The sequence below is a fragment of the Homo sapiens genome, chromosome 12, assembly GCF_000001405.40.
Source record: "Homo sapiens chromosome 12, GRCh38.p14 Primary Assembly".
NCBI classification, from domain to species: domain Eukaryota; kingdom Metazoa; phylum Chordata; class Mammalia; order Primates; family Hominidae; genus Homo; species Homo sapiens.
In genome coordinates this window covers 110,944,275-110,960,060 of record NC_000012.12, presented here as the reverse complement: position 1 = coordinate 110,960,060, position 15,786 = coordinate 110,944,275, and the positions used below count along the sequence as shown (strand labels likewise).

General features: G+C 44.3%; 1 long non-coding RNA gene across 2 annotated transcripts, besides 1 other annotated feature; it reads left to right on the top strand.

The window, feature by feature from the left end:
* Window positions 1,861–3,060: an enhancer, noted in NCBI's record as "BRD4-independent group 4 enhancer chr12:111394805-111396004 (GRCh37/hg19 assembly coordinates)". NCBI's record gives its function as "activates an origin of replication core promoter dependent on BRD2, P300/CBP, MED14 and CDK7 cofactors, and independent of BRD4, by STARR-seq in HCT116 cells {active_cell/tissue: HCT116}" and the evidence as "EXISTENCE:reporter gene assay evidence [ECO:0000049][PMID:35650434]".
* LINC01404 (long intergenic non-protein coding RNA 1404) lies at window positions 2,243–8,378 on the top strand. Of its 2 annotated transcripts, none has more exons than NR_135002.1 (4): window positions 2,243–2,491; window positions 2,581–2,669; window positions 3,725–3,822; window positions 8,219–8,378. It is a non-coding gene; the product is annotated as a long intergenic non-protein coding RNA 1404 (long non-coding RNA). The 2 variants fall into 2 exon arrangements; NR_135001.1 differs by having other exon boundaries at window positions 3,721–3,822.
* Window positions 8,379–15,786: the final 7,408 nt, after the last annotated feature.

Genomic DNA, 15,786 nt, shown 5'->3' with positions numbered 1-15,786 from the left:
ATCTCGCCACTGCACTCCAGCCTGGATGACAGAGTGAGACTCTGTCTCAAAAACAAACAAAAAAAACTTTCTGAATTCTCCTCTGCTCTATGTCTATTTCTTTAGAGATACAACAAAATAGTTAAGAATCAGAACCCTGCATGTCATCCTAGACACTTCCCTCATCTGCTTTATCCTCGAGTCCTATTTTACCCCTTGGAATCTCTCAAGGCCATCTCCTGTTCATGACCTCTTCATCACCCTAGCCCAGGCAGCTGTCAGTGGTTGATGTCCCCCTCTGTTCAAAGACCTCCAATCAATCGCCCCATCTCACTGTGAAAACCAATGACCTACCAGCTCACATGTGATCTGGTCTCATTTAACCTCTCTGGCCTCACTCTCCTCCACTCTTTCCCTCATTTTCCATTTTCTAATCACATATGCGCCATGTCCCCTCTTACTTTTGCCTGGAATGCCCTCCTACCCGCCCAGGCCCACATGTTTTGCCCTTTATCTTCCTAACTCTTATTCACCCTTCAGAGCTAACTTAGTTATCACCTCCTCTAGGAAGGCTTTCTTGATTCCCAATGTTATATAAAGAGAACTCCCCAAGGAAAGGGTTCAACATCTCCTATTTTAGCCCCAGCATCAGAACAGTTCCTGACACAGAGTAGGCACTCAATAGACGTTTGTTGAGTGAATGAATGTTGGTAGACAGAAGAAAATAAGCTGTTGCTTCCAGCAAGTGGCAATTGAGCCTGTGAGCACAGCTGTGTTTGGGGTGAGAGACTGCCCTCTAGGGCAGCCCATACATGCTCTGTTAGAAATGCTTTGAGTGCAAGTAACTGCAAATCCAGCTAATATGGCCAAAAATACAGGTTGTGCCAAACAGTGGCACACAGGGCAAATCTGGCCCTTAGCCCGTTTTTGAAAATGAAGTTTTCTCAGAACATAGTCACATCCATTTGTTAACATATTGTCAAAGGCTGCTGTCACGATATAAATGAAGAGTTTAGTAGTCATGACAGAGACATATGGCTGGCAAAACTTAAAATATCTACTATGTGGCCCAAGGAGTTTCCAGGGTTAGTTTCATAGCTGAACAATACTCAGGACATTGGGATAGTGTCTCTGTTATTCTCTTGGCTTTCTCCTCATGGTCACAAAATGGCTTCCACAGCTCCAGGCATCACATCCTCACATAACTGCTTTTGGAGAAGGAAGTAATTGGAGGCTTAGAGCAGAGAGATCCCCTTATGTTTTCCTCTTATCGGGGAAGAAAAACTTTCCCAGACTGCCCATAAATTGACCTTTATACCTTGCTGGTCAGACTGGGTTACATGCCCATCCTCTAAGCCAGAGGCTGAACCCACCTTCCTTAAATCCCGGAACAAGATTAGAGTCCTTACAGCAAGGAAGAAGAGAAGGGATGTTACATTAGTGAGCAACCACAGTGTCTGCCATAACATTCCCTCCGACTACCTTTCTCTCTCCTCAGTGGCATCTGACTCTCCCTTAGGAAGGGAACTGCCTTAGATCTGGAAAAAGACCTTGCCAAGAGCTCAGGTTCGAATATGAGCTACCTCTTCCCCAGGGTAGGGTACAAAGTAGCACTACTGAAAGGAGAGCTGCTGCATTGTATAATTGAAGGAAAAGAATTTGAAGTTTCAGGGACAAAATCGGAGATCCAGGGTGGAGACTGAGGTGAGGGCACCGGCAAGATAGTGTCCTAGGAGAAAGTCACTGTCCAATCTTGAGTTTTCTGCCCTTTACAAAATCTTGTATAAAGTCTATTAAATTCGTAATAACCGCTAGAACACACTGGTTGCAAACAAGAGAAAAACAAACAAGCTAAACCGTCTTAGGTGAAAAACAAAAACAGAATAAATCTTAAAAAGCACAACTGAATAGTCTGCCAGGAAGAATGGATGAGGGAGTGAGGGAAGCGGGACTGAAAAGATGGGATTTGATTTCTCTTTATTTCTCTGCCCCATTTCCTCCTGAATGGCTCCATTCTCAGGCAATCTTCCTCCGCAGCACACGATGGCTGTCAGCAGCACCTGGAGAAAGATCATTCCTTTTTTTAGACCAGCAAGCAAAGGAGTCTCTTCCCTCAATTTGTAGAAAACATTCATCTTTATTCCGATGAACAAGCTCAGGTCACATGCCCATCCTTGGGCCAATCACTGTAGCCAAGGGGTAGGGATTATCCTGATTGGCTCAGACCTCAGCCACAGGCCCCACCCCTGGAAGAGGATGTCACTTCCCAGAAGCCCTCGGGCCCTTGGGGAGGGACGGGCACTGTTCCCCAGAGCAGTGCAATCAATGCTGGGAAACTGAAGCTGCGAGTGTCCGAGGGACCCTGGGATGTCTCTGGGGTCTGCGTAGGTACCCATGGAGGAGCAGAGATGGTGGATGAAGGAGGCCGTGGAGGAGAAAAGAACACAGGAATTTACCAGAAATTGGCAGGCTGTGGAATTGATGGAGTCCACTTACTGTCCAGGCCTAAGGGGTAAGGAGACGTCTCCTTTCCCCCATGCTGGCATTTGGGTCACATGTGGAATCCGTGGTAAACTGAGGCACCTGTCTTCTCCTTCCCAGGTCCAATAATCCCATCCTTTGCCGAAAGCTTTACTGTGGGACTGGCATCATTTCAAGCATTTAATCCTCGTCCCAACTCTACGAGGAAGGTACTGTTGTTCCCACTTCACAGGGGAGGTGATTGAGGCACAGAAGGGTCAACCAATTCACTCAAGGTCACGCAGCTCCTACACAGTGCAGTTGGGATTCGAACCTGCAATGTGGTTCCCAGTGCAGCCCACCATGACCATTCCACGTGGCCAAAGCCAGCGCGCCTGGAATCCGGGAAGGGAGTTCTTTCTATTGCAGGCCAGAAGTGGGGTACATCCCACTTGCCTTGAGGGCCCCTAGTGCTTGTCAGGAGGCGACAGACCGAGGTGCTATCCTCTCTGGGGCAACTGAACTGCCACCAGAAAAATGACCCATAAACTCGAGATGGAGCCCGCTTTCCCTCTGTGGATTCCACCCTCCATTACGTCTCTCCCTCAATTAATTAATAAAGCCCCGCGCCTCTCTGCCTGGCTGCTTCCTTCCCTCACTCTACCTCCCCATCTCCACTGAGATCCCGGGAAAAAAATCCCTCCCCATGGCCCAGCCTGCTATTGTCTCTCGGTCCCTACAGTTGCTCCTCATAGGGAGGCTGTTGGAGAGAGAGAGAACACGGAAGGCTCCGGGTGGATTTGTGCAGCCCTTAAAACGGGGCTCTGCTTCATCGAATCTCAGTTTTGTGAAGCTCTCCTGCTGAGCCCGGCCTCTGCTCCAGATTCATCCGTATGGGCAGACCTCCTAAAGACAGGTTCAGTCCAAGGACAGGTTCGAGGTCGAAGATGGGGTTCAGAGCTCTCTCTGAGGGCCCATGCTCTCTAGTTTCCTATTTGCAGGCACACCTTTTATGAACAGCTTGGTTCTGGGCTAAAAATGCGTGGGAAAGAGCTGAGGCCCTAAATTCAGGCAGACCTGGCTTCAAGTGCTAGCCCAACAATAACTGGCCTGGTGACTTGAACTTCTGTGGGTCTCATTTTCCTGTCCTGTAAAATGGGGATAGTAGCAGAAATTGTATATTTGGAAGTTAAATGACAGAACATGCAAATCTCTTAGCACAGAGCCTGACACAATGAAAGTAATTCATTTTTTTAAAATAGCTTTTTTTTTTTTTTTGAGACAGGGTCTCGCTTTGTCACCCAGGCTGGAGTGCAATGGTGCAATCACAGCATACTGCAGCCTCAACCTCCCAGGCTCAAGCAATCCTCCCACCTCAGCTTCGTGAGTAGCAGGGACTACAGGGGTGTGCTATCATACCTGTCTAATTTTTTGTATTTTTTTTTGTAGAGACAGGGTTTCACCATGTTTCCCATGGCTGGTCTTAAACTACTGGTCTCAAGCAGCCCACCCATCTCAGCAACCCAAAGTGCTGAAATTACAGGCATGAACCACTGCGCCCAGCCAAAAATTAGCTATTTTATTGTCAGTAGAATCGTTAAAATTATTTTATGCCTTTCCAAGATAGCACGTTACCCTTGGAGAAACAGCACAGAGCAGGAGCTAAGAACACAGACTCTGGATTCAGTCTTCATGACTTTAAATCCTGGTTCTGTCATTTTTCAGCTCTGTGACCTTAGGCAAGTTATTCTACCCCTCTGTGTCTCAGTTTCTTGATCTTGAAAATGGTATTAATAATAGTACCCACCTCGCAGGCTCTTGTGAGGATTAAATGTGATGAGACATGTAGAGGGCTTAGAACAGCACACAATGAATATTAGCTATTATTATTTTCCAACATTCACGAACTTCTCAGTAAATGAAAACTGTCATTCTTTCAGTGGTGGGTTTTGATCAGTGGCAGGCTAGTAGCAACCAGCTGTCCTAAAAAAATTGTAGGCCAGGCATAGTGATACATGCCTGTAACCCCAGCACTTTGGGAGGCTAAGGTAAGAGGATCACTTGAGGCCAGGAGTTTGAGACCAGCCTGAGCAACATAGCAAGCTCCCATCTCTTAAAAAATGTATACATGTATGCATGTACATACATACTTTTTTGTGTGATGAATTTTACTGATTTAAAGGATGTGTGGTGCAAATTTTGCAAATAATAATAAAGTTTCATTTAGTTTTGCCAATCTCTGTAGCTATTATCTATCTGTAATTGCAAGTTAACCATGATTTCCTTCCTTCCTTCATTTGTTTGAAATGGGATCTTGATATAATTCAGGCTGATCTTGAACTCCTGGGCTCAAGGAATCCTCCTCAGTAGCTGGGACTACAGGTGCCCACCAACCATGCCAGGCTAATGATTTTTTTAAAAAATTTTTTTAGAGATAGGGTCTCTCTGTGTTATCCGAGCTGCAAGCCAACCATGATTTGACAAATGGAGTTGCACCCCAACCATGAGTGTATTTCCAACATGAATGTTGGCTGATTTTTCATTTCCATTAATGAGTAAAATGAAAGTGAGACAATGAAGACATATGTTGAAACTTGACTCAGCCATCAACTTCTTTGCTAAATTGGATAATAGTTTTTAATACTGGAAGAATATTTACTCCAATTTTTATTGCTGTTCACAATGTAATGGGTATAACACAACACACTTTAAAATTTAATCTGTATTATAACATTTTCTTCATTTCTTTCTGAGGTCTAGACAATCAGCCAAAGCCCTGATTGGTAGCATCTGTCTATTTTCATGGTGTAAATATTCCCACCATGGCTATATTCAAGCTAACAAGATAGAGTCACTGAATGTGAAGTTGGAAAGAGAGGCACAGTGAGTGACCCAACATTATACATTATTTCCACCATATAGATACAATAGACTTTAATCTCAAGAGCATAGATAATAGCAAAATTTATAAAATAATCAGAAAGTAATGAGTAGTGCATCATTTATTATATGTTTTTAATTTAATCTCTTTGAGTGTTATATAATTTAATTTAAAATAATTGCTGTTTAACAACTAGCTTGCAAAATTTCTAAAAGTTTAACAATTGGCTTTCATGAGCCAGTGTGAGCTACCTCCAGCATACCTCTGGTTTTGATAGCTAAATCCCCAGAGGAAACTTCAAGAACAACAAAAGAGGAAATGCATTAAATAATTATGGGACGTGAGAGATTTTTAAAATTATGCATTAAGAACAATTTTTCCTAAATGAAGGGTTTTCCTTATTGTGGTAGATTGTATTTTCCAAAGGTGGCCACAAAATATCTCGTATTCCCAAACGTTCTTCTAGTACTTTGCCACTCTACTGTCAAGAGGTAAGAGTCGCTGTCCCCTCTCCTTGAATTGGGGTGAGTTTGGGATTGCCTGGAGCAATAGAGTATGGTGGAAGTGGCTTCCATCCATAGGTGACTTCCAAGGCTAAGTCTGAAAAGATGGTGCCGCTTCCTCCTTGTGACCTAGAAAACTCACTCTTGAAGCCTACAGCCTCCATGTAAGCAATTTGGCCAACCTGAGACTGCCATGTTGTGAGGAAGCCCAAACTAGCCTATGCAGAGTGACTGCACAGAGAGCCCGGAGACTCCATGCAGAGAGAGAGAGGCTCAGGAACACCCAGCTGCCCCCTGCTAGCCCAGCACCAGCTCCATTTGACTGTAACTGTGCAAGAGGCTGTGGGCCAGATCCAGGTATCAGAGACCTCGGCAGGGCCTTGGACATACTAAAAGCTTGTAGAGTCCTGAGAAGGATGTTAGTGCCGAATTAAGAAAAACGTTATTAGAAACTGGAAGAAAGGGGATCTTTGTTATGTGGTGGTGGAAAGTTTGTCACCTGCGGTAACATAGAAAGAAGACATGTATCCAGTGAACTCACTGTTATAGCAGAATATTAAAAGTGTTATCTGGCTTTTTCTTGCTACCTATGATAAAATGTAAAAGGAAAGAAACGAACTAAAACAAGCTATTAAATATAAAGGAGCCAGGATCTGCTGGACTTGAAAACAAAATTATTTTTCGTTCCTAGCTTCTCTAGATGGCAAAAACTTCTCAAACTGAGAAAAGCCCTCAGGCTTTTATTACCTGATTTCAAGACTTACTATAAAGTAAGTCTACAGTAATCAAGACAGTGTGGTATTGGTGAGAGGATAGTCACATAGATCAATGGAACAGAACAGAGAATCCAGAAATAGACCTGCTCGTATATGGTCAATTGATTTTCAACTAAGGTGCAAAGGCAATTCAATAGAAAAAAGTCTTTTTCAATAAAGAGGGCTAGAAAAAATGGACATTATATGCAAAATAAAACAACCCTCAGTTCATACCTAGCTCCCTGTACGAAAATTAACTTTAAATGGATCATAGACTTAAATGTAAAACCTAAAACTATGAAATTTTCAGGAGATGACATAGGAGAAAATCTTTGTGACTCAAGTTTGGCAAAGATTTCTCATGTGGGACACAAAAACACAAATCATAAAAGAAAAAAGCTGATAAATTGGGCTTCATCAAAATTTAGAACTTCTGCTCTTTCAAAGCCTTGGTTAAGAAAATGAAAAGACAAGAAACTGGGAGAAAATATTTACAAAATGCATATGTTATAAAGGAATGGTTTCCAAAATAAGAAGATAAAAAAATTCTCAAAACTCAATTTTGAAAGGAAACTCCGTGTTATTATAAAGCAACCCTATTTAAAGTGGGCAAAAGACTATCTGTTCTCCACTGAATTGCCTTTGTAACTTTGTCAAAAATCAGTTGTCCATTTATGTGTGGATCTATTTATAGACTCTGTATTCTGTTCTATTGATCTATATTCCTGTCTTTATACCAATACCATGCTGCCTTGAATACTGTAGTTTTATAATAAGTCTTGAAATCACATAGTGTTAGTTCTCCAACTTTATTATTTTTCAAAGGCTTTCTAAGTCCTTTGTCTTTCTTTATGAATTTTAGAATAAACATCACTTTCTACCAAAAAAAAAAAAAAAGCCTTCTGGGATCTTTGATCAGAATTGCATTAAATCTATAGTTCAATTTGGGGGGAAATTGCCATCACAACAATACCAAGTCTTCCAACTCATGAACAGGATATATCTCTCCACCTATTTAGCTCTTTTTAAATTTCCTTCAGCAGTGTTTTGTAGTTTTTACTCTAGAAGTATTTCATCACTTTTTTGTCAGATTTATCCCGTAACACTTTTTACTTTTGATGCTATTGTAAATAGTATTGTGTTTTAATATTCCAATTTCTAGTTGTTTTTGACTGGATTTAGAAGTGTGATTGATTTTTGTATAATGATCTTGTATCCTGCAACCTTGCTAAACTCAATTACTAGTTCTCAATTACTAGAAAATCATCAGATTTTATATAAAGATTATCATATCATGTGCAAATTTTACTTCCTTTTTTCCAATGTTAATGCCTTTTATGTCTTTGCCTTGCATTATCAAAATGGCTGTAACACCGACTGCAGTGTTGAATAGGAATGGGTGAGAGCAGGCATTCTACATCTTATATGTAAAAATTAACTCAAAACAGCTTATAGATCTAAATGTAAAGATACAACACTACAAAGATTCCTGAAGAAAGAAAATTTTTGTCCTCTCCCTCTCCCTCTCCCTCTCCCTCCCCCTCCCCCTCCCCCTCCCCCCCTCCCTCTCCCTCTGTCTCCCTCTTTCCACGGTCTCGCTGTCATGCCGAGCCACTCCCTCTCCCTCTCCCTCTTTCCAGGGTCTCCCTCTCATGCTGAGCCAAACCTGGACTGTGCTGCTGCCATCTCGGCTCACTGCAACCTCCCTGCCTGATTCTCCTGCCTCAGCCTGCCGAGTGCCTGCGACTGCAGGCGCGCGCCACCACACCTGACTGGTTTTCGTGTTTTTTTGGTGGAGACGGGGTTTCGCTGTGTTGGCCGGGCTGGTCTCCAGCTCCTAACCGCGAGTGATCCACCAGCCTCGGCCTCCCGAGGTGCCGGGATTGCAGACGGAGTCTCGTTAACTCAGTGCTCAATGGTGCCCAGGCTGGAGTGCAGTGGCGTGATCTCGGCTCGCTACAATCTCCACCTCCCAGCCGCCTGCCTTGGCCCCCCAAAGTGCGGAGAGTGCAGCCTCTGCCCGGCCGCCACCCCGTCTGGGAAGTGAGGAGCGTCTCTGCCTGGCCGCCCATCGTCTGGGATGTGAGGAGCCCCTCTGCCTGGCTGCCCAGTCTGGAAAGTGAGGAGCGTCTCTGCCCGGCCGCCATCCCACCTGGGAAGTGAGGAGTGCCTCTTCCCAGCCGCCATCCCATCTAGGAAGTGAGGAGCATCTCTGCCCGGCCGCCCATCGTCTGAGATGTGGGGAGCGCCTCTGCCCCGCCACCCCGTCTGGGATGTGAGGAGCGCCTGGGCCCGGCCGCGACCCCGTCTGGGAGGTGAGGAGCGTCTCTGCCCGGCCGCCCGTCTGAGAAGTGAGGAGACCCTCTGCCTGGCAACTGCCCCGTCTGAGAAGTGAGGAGCCCCTCCGCCCCGCTGCCACCCCGTCTGGGAAGTGAGGAGGGTCTCCACCCAGCAGCCACCCCTTCCGGGAGGGAGGTGGGGGGGTCAGCCCCCCGCCCGGCCAGCCGCCCCGTCTGGGAGGCAGGTGGGGGGGTCAGCCCCCTGCCCGGCCAGCCGCCCCGTCCGGGAGGTGAGGGGCGCCTCTGCCCGGCCGCCCCTACTGGGAAGTGAGGAGCCCCTCTGCCCGGCCAGCCGCCCCGTCTGGGAGGGAGGTGGGGGGGTCAGCCCCCTGCCCGGCCAGCCGCCCCGTCCGGGAGGGAGGTGGTGGGGGTCAGCCCCCCCGCCCGGCCAGCCGCCCCATCCGGGAGGGAGGTGGGGAGCTCAGCCCCCCACCCAGCCAGCGCCCTGTCCGGGAGGGAGGTGGGGGGGTCAGCCCCCCGCCCGGCCAGCCGCCCCGTCCGGGAGGGAGGTGGGGAGCTCAGCCCCCCGCCCAGCCAGCGCCCCGTCTGGGAGGGAGGTTGGGGGGTCAGCCCCCCGCCCGGCCAGCCGCCCCGTCCCGGAGGTGAGGGGCGCCTCTGCCCGGCCGCCCCTACTGGGAAGTGAGGAGCCCCCTCTGCCCGGCCACCAGCCCGTCTGGGAGGTGTACCCAACAGCTCATTGAGAACGGGCCATGATGACAATGGCGGTTTTGTGGAATAGAAAAGGGGGCAAGGTGGGTAAAAGATTGAGAAATCGGATGGTTGCTGTGTCTGTGTAGAAAGAAGTAGACATGGGAGACTTTTCATTTTGTTCTGTACTAAGAAAAATTCTTCTGCCTTGGGATCCTGTTGATCTATGACCTTACCCCCAACCCTGTGCTCTCTGAAACATGTGCTGTGTCCACTCAGGGTTAAATGGATTAAGGGCGGTGCAAGATGTGCTTTGTTAAACAGATGCTTGAAGGCAGCATGCTCGCTAAGAGTCATCGCCACTCCCTAATCTCAAGTACCCAGGGACACAAACACTCTGCCTAGGAAAACCAGAGACCTTTGTTCACTTGTTTGTCTGCTGACCTTCCCTCCACTATTGTCCTATGACCCTGCCAAATCCCCCTCTGCGAGAAACACCCAAGAATGATCAATAAAAAAAAAATTAAATTAAATTAAATTAAAAAAAAAAAAAAAAGAATAGTGGCAACTGGGCTGGGCACGGTGGCTCAAGCCTGTAATCCCAGCACTTTGGGAGGCCCAGGTGGGTGGATCAGGAGGTCAGGAGTTTGAGACCAGCCTGACCAACATGGTGAAGCCCCGTCTCTACTAAAAAAATACAAAAATTAGCTGGGCACAGTGGTGCGTGCCTGTAGTCCCAGCTACTCGGGAGGCTGAGGCAGTAGAATCGCTTGAACCCGGGAAGTGGAGGTTGCAGTGAGCCGAGATCGTGCCACTGCACTCCAGTCTGGGCAACACAGTGAGACTCTGTCTCAAAAAAAAAAAAAAATTAGTGGTAACTGGTTTTACTTTCTTTTTAGCTTTAAAGTTTTTTTGGCGGCAATGTGAATACATTCCTATACTTCTGCCCACTTAATTTGTTCTTGGCCATTGTCTTTGATACTCATGTGTAGCCACTCAAGCCCCAGGTGACACCATCTACACACACTGGAAATATGAAATTTTTTGAGGCCCAACATGTTGTTCAAAGGAAATGCTCACTGCAGCATTTTGAATTTTAATTTTCAGATTAGGGAAGCTGAACCGATAAGCATAATACGAATATTCCAAAATCTGCCCAAACACTTCTGGTCCAAAGTATTTCAGATAAGGGATACTGAACCTGTATAAGCTGTTCATCTAAGCTATATTAGATATGTCTTCTTATCAAATTGTTCCATTAAACTATAATAAAGATAAATCAATGGCAAAAAAAAAAAAAAAAAGAAAATTTTTGTGACCTTGGGTTAGGCAAACGGGATGTTCTTAGACACACTATCAAAAGCATGAGCCATAAAAAAATTGAAAAAGTGATCTTCATCAAAATTAAAACCTTCTGCTCTTTGAATAACTCTTTTAAGAGAATGGAAATGTGAGCCATGGACTGAGAGAAAATGTTTGCAAGTTACACATCTGAATTAAAGAAAAACAAAAACTTGTATCCACAATACATAAAGAACTCTCAAGACTCAATAATAAGAAAATAAACAGCCCAGCTTTTATAATGGGCAAAAGATTTGAACAGACATTTCACCAAACAAGATGGCAAATAAACACATGACCAGTTGTTTAGCATTATTAGTCATTACAAAAATGCAAATTTAAACCACAATGAGACACTACTACATACCTATTAGAATGGTAAATTTAAAAGACTGGCTATACTGAGTTGAATAGGGTCGCCTCCAAATTCATGTCCACTGGAACCTCAGAATGTGACTTTATTTGGAAATAAGATATTTTCAGATAATTAGTTAAAGCAAGGTAATAGTGGATTAGGGTAGGCCCTAAATCTACTGACTGACTGTTGTCCTTAAGAAGGCCACATGAAGACACAGAGACACACAGAGAAGAGAATGCCATGTGAAGCCAGGGACAGAGATTGGAGTGATGTATATATAAGCCCAGGAATATCTGTGGCCACCAGAGCTGGAAGAGGCAAGAAGCTCTCTCCCTGAGAGCCTCCAGAGGGAATCAACCCTGCTGACTCTTGACTTTAAACTTCTGGCCTCCAGAGCTGTGAGAAAACACGTTTCTCTTGTTTTAAGACCCCCAGTTTGTGGCAATTAATTACAGCAACCCTTGGAATCTAATATATTGACCATTCCAAATGCTGGGGAAGAATGTGGAGGAACTGGAACTCTTGTACATTGCTGATGGGAATGTAAGATAGTACAAGCGCTTTGGAAACCAGTTTGGCAATTTTTTTAAAAAAGTTAAACACCTGCTGCAGGATCCAGCCATTCTGCTCCTAGGTATTTACCCAAGAGAAAAGAAAGCTGTGGTAGGCAAAATAATGGCCCCTGAAGATGTCCATGCCCTAATCCCTGGAACCCATAAACATGTTAAATTACATGACAAAGGAGACTTTTTAGATGTGATTAGATTAAGGATCTTGAGATGGAGAGATTGTTCTGGATTATCCAGGTGGGCCTGATGTCATCACAAGGGTCCCTATAAGTGAAAGAGGGAGGCAGAAGAGTGAGTGTGAGAGTGACATCATGTGACAAGACTTGACTTGTCATTGCTGCCTTTGAAGATGGAGGAAGGAGCCACAAGCCATAAATTCAGGTGGCCTCTAGAAGCTGGAAAAGGCAAGGGAATAGATTCCTCCTAGAGCCTCCAGAAGGAATGCAGCTGTGCTGACACTTTGATCTTATCCCAGTGAAACTCATTTTAAAATTCTGACCCCCAGAACTATAAAATAATAAATTTGTGTTGTTTGAAGCCTCTACGTTTGTGGTGATTTGTTATAGCACCCATAGCAAACAAATACAAAAACATATATCCACACAAAGACTTGTAAGCATCAATGTCCATAGCAGCTTTATTTGTAATAGACAAGTATCCACCAATATGGATAAACAAATTATGGAATATCCATACAATGGGATTCTACTCACATACTGCATTATTCCCTGTATATGGCATTCTGAAAAGGGCAGAACTTCAGGGACAGAAAATAAATGAGGAACTGCCAGGGGCTGGGTGGGTGATAGAAATGACTACAAACCTATACAAGGGAAGTTTTTTGGGTGATTGTAGTGGTAGTTACGTAATTATATGCATTTGTTGAACTTACAGAACTATACCCCTAAAAAGGGCAAATTTTTCTCTATATAAATTTTACTTCAGTAACTTTGACTTAGAAAATGGAGAGGTGAGAGACACAGCAAAGAAAAAGAAGGAAATGGCTGGGCGCAGTGGCTCACACCTGTAATCCCAGCATTTTGGGAGGCCGAGGCAAGTGGATCACCTGAGGTCAGGAGTTTGAGACCAGCCTGGCCAACATGGTGAAGCCCCATTTCTACTAAAAATACAAAAAATTAGCTGGACGTGGTGGTGCGCACCTGTAATCCCAGCTACTTGGGAGGCTGAGGCAGGAGAATCTCCTGAACCCGGGAGGCGGAAGTTGCAGCGAGCTGAGATCATGCCATTCTACTCCAGCCTGGGCGACAAGAGCAAAACTCCATCAGAAAAAAAAAAAAAAAGGAAGGGCCTCAGACCAAATATTGAATCCAGGTGGGATTGTAAGTTCCTTTAAGACACAAGAAAGATTTATGGCAGTGCCTCATAGAACCTTTCCAGTACAGAAAAGCTTCTCTAAGGATCTATAGGCCATGCCTCACAGGCACTTTCCATTATATGACAAGCCTTTTTAAGATCTTAAAGGCATTGATCTACAGTGATCTCAATGGGAACCCACGGTAGAAAGGGCTTATCTCAAAGAGATTTGTGATTTTGGCTTTTCTTTAATGGCATGAATCTCAATAAGATTCGTAGGAAACACACAGTGTTTTTAATAGAATTGTTCTGGTGGAAGCTGTGCCTGCTTGAACTAAAAGGAACTGAGAGAATAGAAAATAAAATGAGGTCTTTGGTTTTCCAAACTTCTATAGGTAGGAAGCAAGCCAAGAAAAACCCTCAGCTGCAAACATGGCTGTACTTTATGGAAAATAACAGTGACTCAGAATCATATCTAGGGAACAATCCTGAGTCCCAGTCAAGGAATTGGCAACATTTAGCAACATTTGCCCAGCTGGATTTTAGAATTGTTATGGACCAGTGATTTACCTCCTGTTTTCTACCTCTTTAAATGTGAGTGCCTGTAACAGTTGTCTTGTGCCTGACCCATGACTGCATGTTGAGTGTGTAAGAAGCAGTTAATTTGCTCTTTATTTTACAGATGTTCAGGTCAAAAAGAAAAGTACTCAAAGAGCTGTCCCCAAAGTATCATACCTGAGGAGCATAATGTGGGCCTGGACCTGATTTAGATAATAAAATCCTGGACCTTGATACTAAGCCTGATCCTGTAATGGGATGAAACTCCTGGGAGGTCTCAGAGGAGTGTATTTTACATGTGAAAGGGATATGAATTGTTGTGGCCAGAGAGTGAGCTTGGCACATTATATTTTCCAAAAAATGTCTGCAGTAATATTTCCCAGCCCACATGCCCTTCTGGAACTTTGCAACTCCTCCATGAAGAGGTGGAATCTATGTTCCATCCCCACTTGAACTTGGTTTGGCATTTATGCCTTTCTTGACTGGTGGAGTACAGTAAAAGTGATACCATGTGACTTCTGAGGCTAGGTCACAAAAATACCGTATACTTCTGCCTCGATTTACTGAGATGCTCAATCTTGAAACCCAGCCACCATGCTGTGAGGAAGCCCAAGTAGCCTTTGAAGAGACCCAGATGGAGAGGAACCAGAGTTCTCAGTCTAATGCCTGAGGTTAGGCTGAGCTCCTAACCAATGGTTAGCACCAAGACGCCACGTGAGTGAGCCATCTTGGAAGTGGATCTTCCCACCCACATTGAGCTGTGTCAGCTGAAGCCCCATGCAACAGAGACAAGCTGACCCCACTAAGTCCTGTCCAAATTGCTGATTCACAACCAAAATAAATGATTATTATTTATTTCAAGCCACTAAGTTATGGGGTACATTGTTACACAGTAATGAATAAATAGAACCTTTACCTAGAGGTCTCTAAAAATAGTATAGAAATGAACCCAGAGCCAAAGCAATAAGAAAAATATTGATAGATGAGTATTTTAAAATGTAAAGCTTCTGCATACCAAAAAGAGTCACAGACAACATTAAAAGTTAAAGATATCCGTTTCCAGGTATATACACACAAGAATTGAGAGCAGGGACTTAAAAAGATATTTGTATACCCATGTTCACAGCAACACTATTCACAATAGCCAAAAGATGGAAACAATCCAGGTGTCCATCGATGGATGAATGGATAAGCAAAAATGTGGTCTATCCACACAATGAAATATTATTCAGCCTTAAAAAGGAAGGAAGTTCTGACATAGGCTACAACATGAATGACACTTGAAGAATCATGCTAAGTGAGATAAGCCAGACACACAAAAAAGATAAATATTGTATGATTTCACTTATGTGAGATTCCTGGAGTAATTATAGAGACAGAAAGTAGAATAAGGGCTACCAAGGGCTGGGGGAGGGAGAATGGAGAGTTACTGTTTAATGGGTGCACAGTTTCAAATTTTGGTGATGAAAGTTTTGGAGATGGATGGTGGTGATGGTTGCACAACAGTGTCAATGTACTTAATGCCACTGAACTGGACTCTTTTTTTTTTTGAGTTTCACTCTGTCGCCCAGGCTGGAGTGCAGTGTTGTGATCTCAGATCACTACAACCTCCACTCCCAGGTTCAAGAGATTCTCCTGCCTCAGCCTCCCAAGTAGCTGCGATTACAGGCATGCACCACCGCACCCAGCTTTTTTTTTTTTTTTTTTGTATTTTTAGTGGAAACAGGGTTTCACCATGTTGGCCAGGCTGGTCTCGAACTCCTGACCTCAAGTGATCCACCCCACCTCAGCCTCCCAAAGTGCTGGGATTACAGGCATAAGCCACCGCACCCGGCCTGAACTGGACTCTTAAAAATGGTTAAAAGGGTAAATTTTATGTTATGTGTATTTTACCACAATAAACAAGATAATTCAAAGACAAATAGAACACTGGAAAAATATTTGCAAAAATAACGGCTTTATATTGCCAGTTTTTAAAAACATAAGCAAAGATAGAAACATGCAATGCAAAATAAGAAGAATTAGGATGAGGAGGAGAAATAAAAATGGCTAAAAACCAATTTGGAAATATATCCAATCTC